The sequence below is a fragment of the Homo sapiens genome, chromosome 7 (assembly GCF_000001405.40).
Source record: "Homo sapiens chromosome 7, GRCh38.p14 Primary Assembly".
NCBI lineage: Eukaryota > Metazoa > Chordata > Mammalia > Primates > Hominidae > Homo > Homo sapiens.
This window is the reverse complement of record NC_000007.14, coordinates 55,644,828-55,649,613: the sequence shown is the minus strand read 5'-3', so window position 1 is coordinate 55,649,613 and position 4,786 is coordinate 55,644,828. Positions and strand designations below refer to the sequence as shown.

Here is a 4,786-nt window from a genome sequence, read left to right as displayed (position 1 = left end):
TAAACATTTTTAGGGTTGCCAGTTATTTTGTCATACACCTATTGCTGCAAGAAGTATCTTGGTTTATGTATTTTTAGGTACTAGTGTTAGTAATTATTTATTTTTAATTTTATAAAATTGTGGTAAAATACACATAAAATGCACTGTCTTCAATTACAATGTTACGCAACCATAACCACCACCTGCATTCCTCTTTTCATCTTGTAAAACCAAAAAATTGTAAGCATTGAATAACAACGCCCCATTCTTCCAACTCTCCACCTTGCCCCGACCCACTCCGTGGCAGCCACTATTTTTCTTTCTGTCTCTATCATTGTGACTTCTTTAAGAATTTCACAGAGTTTTTCCTGTGGTTTAAAAAAAAAACAAAGACAAAAAATCCCATAAAGTTTACCATGTGTTAAAAAATGATTCTATGACCCTTTTTAACACGTGGCAAGGAAGACTTTATTCAGAGCCATTTTGATAGGTACAGGGATCACTCTATGTGAGTCTTGCAATGGGGAAGAGAGACTGGGCTCTCTCCAAATTCAGCATGGGCAGTTGGAAATTGATAGCTGCCATTAAGGAGTGGGGGGTGGGTACAGTGGATGGAGAATGACAAACAGTAAACATCAGTAGTGAAGGGGAGGCAGACTCTTGGACCCTGCCACACCAGATAAATGAATGATGCTTGTCCCCAATATAGGGCCCAGTTTGTGGAGTAAAGTAGGTCCGTCATGGTTATGTGAATTGTGCTTGTGTGTAATTCAGGAACCTAAGGAAAGCTCTGAGGCCCTAGACCATGCATGTGGTCTTGGGCCAAAAGCAATGTTAGCTTTCTATCTAGCCATGGGATCACTAAGGCTAGGCTACAAAGTGAATGGCCAAGTAAGCCAAAAAATACCCCATCTCTCTTGTTCTTAGAAGCTCAGAGAGGTAGTGACCAAATAGGACTTGAAATAAAAGAACTACCACGTCCCACAGGCCTTTGGCTTTCCTATTTGACATGAAACAGCCGGTCAATTCTCTCTGCTCTCCTAGGGCAGGAGGAGGATTTCTCTCACATGGCAAAGAATGAAAAATGTCCTTCACACCTGAAGTCAAATAAACAGCTGCATCTTTTACACGACTGAGAAAACAACACTCAGTGAGATCTCAGTGTTTTGAAGTCACTGATCTCAAGAAACGGTATAGCATAATCGGTCAGTCTAAAGTGTTTCACCCATACATGGCACACAAGCAAAGATAAAATGACAAATAAATATATATATACACACACATAAATGCCTATATTTTTGTGTATGAAGAAATAGGTACCATATATGAATATACACATCAACACATAAATGAATAAAATTAAAAGAGGTATTTATACATACAGTGTTGTAGAGTTGTCTGCCAGTTGGTGGTGGTATTTCTGCATACAAGAGAAATAAAAACATATTTTTTCATAAATATATATTTAAAAATAAACATAGATATTACCTATAATGACAGATGTATATATAATAAATGTATATGTGTATATAAAATATATGTATAAAATACACATAGTGCAGAGAAATACACAAACACACTGAAATGCACACAGATGCACTTACATCTAAACTAGATGCCATAAGATTGTCTCAATAAAAGAAGCTGAAAAGGCCACAGAAGTCTTTCCATGCAGGTTTCATGTGACCCTACACTAATGGCAAACACCAGGCCAGAGGCTTAAACCAGATCCAGCCCAAGCAGCATCACCCAACAGTGGGAAAACTGTCCACTTCTAGACAACCTCTTGATCAGGATAGGGGCCCTTCTTTGGAACACCTGAGGTGGGTGCGTACAATGGTGTCCCAGTATGACACTTCACTCTGTGAAGGAAAAGCTTTTCACAGAGAGTTGGAAAGGCTAGGTCGAGACCTGAGGATGTGTTGGGCTAAGATGGTATCAGGCCAGAGCAACACCAGGCCAGGGTTGAACTGCAATGCGAGACACTGAGAGCTTTTCGGAGCCAGGAAAATGGCCCCAGAAGCCAAAGGCTATACAGTCTTGAGTAATTCTATTCTGGCTGTTTCCAGCTGATTTTGAGAACCCTACAGGGCAGTACTAAAGAATCTCTGAATTGGCGACACCCGAAAAGCCAGGTATCTGAGGCCTCCTCCACAAGTTTGAGAAGCATGTAATACAGATGTCTGGCTTGACAAACACTTCTGGATGCCAAAGCAGGTGTTAGAAAAAGAAAACTAGGTTAGAGGCAGACTGTTGGACCCTGCCACCCCAGGTGAATGAATGATGCCTGTGCTCAAACCAGAGTAGGTGAGATGAGTCCCTGATGGCAGATAAGAACTGCGCATGCACGAGCCAGCAAGCTACGGAGGGCCTGGAGTTTCTAAGCCAGGCATGTAGCCCTGGTCCAGAAGCACTGGTCAGTGTCCAGCCAACCTTTGGGTCACCAAGGGTATTCTGAGAAGTGTATGGCCATGCAAGCCAAAAAACTTCTGCATCTTTTCTGTTCTTTTTTTTTCAACAAACAAGTGTTTATTGAGCACTTACTATGTGCTAGGCACCATTCTGGACCCCCCCAGAAAAAAAAAAAGAGGCAGCAAACACCAATTCTGAGGGAGAGGAAAGGGGCAGTTGAGTGAGACAGCTAAGGGCAACTGAGAAGCCTGAGGTGATGGGGGGCTCTGCCTTAGGCCTCCTCTTCAGCCTCCTTACTGAAATCCTCTTCCTCTTCTGTGGTAGCATCCTGGTACTGCTGATCCTCAGAGATGAAGTTGTTCATGTTGCTCTCAGCCTCAGTGAACTCCATCTCGTCCATGCCCTCGCCTGTGTAGCAGTGGAGGAAGGCCTTCTGGTAGAACATGGCAGTGAACTGCTCCGAGATGCGCTTGAAGAGCTACTGGATGCCAGTGCTGTTTCCGATGAAGGTGACAGCCATCTTGAGGCCATGAGGTGGATGTCACAGACAGCTGTCTTGATGTTGTTGGGGATCCATTCCACAAAGTAGCTGCTGTTCTTGTTCTGCACTTTGAGCATCTGCTCATTGACCGCTTTCATGGACATTCGACCACTGGAGACAGCAGCCATGGTGAGGTATTGGCCGTGGCGGGGGTCACAAGCAGCCATCAGGTTTTTGGCATCGAAGACCTGCTGGGTAAGTTGGGGCACGGTGAGAGCTTGATACTACTGGCTTCCACGGCTGGTGAAAGGGGCAAAGCCAGGCATAAAGAAATGGAGATATGGGAAGGGAACCATGTTGACTGCCAACTTGCAGAGGTCAGCACTGAGCTGGCCAGGAAGTGGAGGCAGGTGGTGACACCACTCATGGTGGCTAAGACGAGGTAGTTCAGATCCCAGTAGGTTGGTGTGGTCAGCTTCAGATTGCGGAAGCAGATATCCTAGAGGGCCTCATTGTCAATACAATAGGTCTCATCAGTGTTCTCTACCAACTGATGGACGGAGAGGGTGGCATTGTAGGGCTCAACCACGGTGTCAGATACCTTGTGTGAAGGTACCACACTGAAGGTATTCATGAAGCAATCAGGGTACTCTTCTTGGATCTTGCTCATAAGGAGAGTGCCGATTCCAGAGCCTGTGTCCCAGTCAAGTGAGTGGGTCAGCTGGAAGCCCTGAAGGCAGTCACAGCTCTCCGCCTCCTTCCATACCAAATCCAGGACCGAATAAACCAGCTCAGCCCCCTCTGTGTAGTGGCATTTGGCCCAGTTGTTGCCTGCCCCAGACTGATCAGAAGCAAAGTTGTCTGGTCTAAAGATCTGGCCAAAAGGACCTGAGTGAACAGAGTCCATGGTCCCAGGTTCTAGATCCACCAGGATCGCATGAGGAACATATTTGCCACCTGTGGCTTCATAGTAGTACACGGAGATGCGGTCCAGCTGCAGGGCGCTGTCCCTGTGGTAGGTGCCGGTGGGTTGATGCCATGTTCATCACTGATCACCTCCCAGAACTTGGCACTGATCTGGTTGCCACAGTGACTGGCTTGGATGTGCACAATTTCCTTCATGGTTAAAATTTAATTTTTTTGCTCACCTCAAGGTATGTATGGAGCAAGAAAATATGTAATTTTTTTTGCTGCTAGTCGCAGGCTGAAAGGATAGAATGTGCCCCAGAGGCTGGAGCAGTGAGGTGCGAACATGGTGGCAGGAAGGTTCTGAGAGCTTTTCTGTTCTTAAAATTTCAGAGAGACAGTGTCCAAATAGGACTTGAATGGAAGACTGCCTAATATTACCAGGTTCCGTAGACATTTGGTTCCTTCATTTGCCCTGAAACAGTCAGCCAAGTTTCTCTGCTCCCTCCTATAGGAGAAGTGAACTTTTCCCAAATGCCAAGGGAAGAGATGGCCCAGACACGTAAAGTCCAGTGTATAGCCGCATCTTCCCGCTTAGACCAGAAGAAGCCTCAGCCGGGTCTTGGCGTTTTGGAATCTGTAGTCTGAGTAAACAATGTAGCACAATTGATCAGCCTGGAATGTTTAAGCATACAGGGCACAAGTAAAACCATAACTGGAAATTAGTATCTACACACATATAAATGCATACATTTTAAATGAAATAGGAAACATTTACAAATATATCATCAACATATAAATAAATAGAAATTAAAATATAAATATTTATACATACGACATTGTAGCACTGTCTGCCAGTTTGTGGTGGTGCCTTTGCATGCAAGCAGGAAAAAATTCATATATATTATAAATAATAAAATAAAGATCTTATATGTAATAACATAAAAATATACATTTATGCATACATAAATATATAAATACATATTTGTATAAATGTGCATGTAATAA

General features: G+C 43.8%; 1 pseudogene; it reads right to left on the bottom strand.

Annotated features, from left to right (window-relative positions):
- On the bottom strand, positions 2,493-4,148 carry TUBBP6 (tubulin beta class I pseudogene 6; annotated as a pseudogene).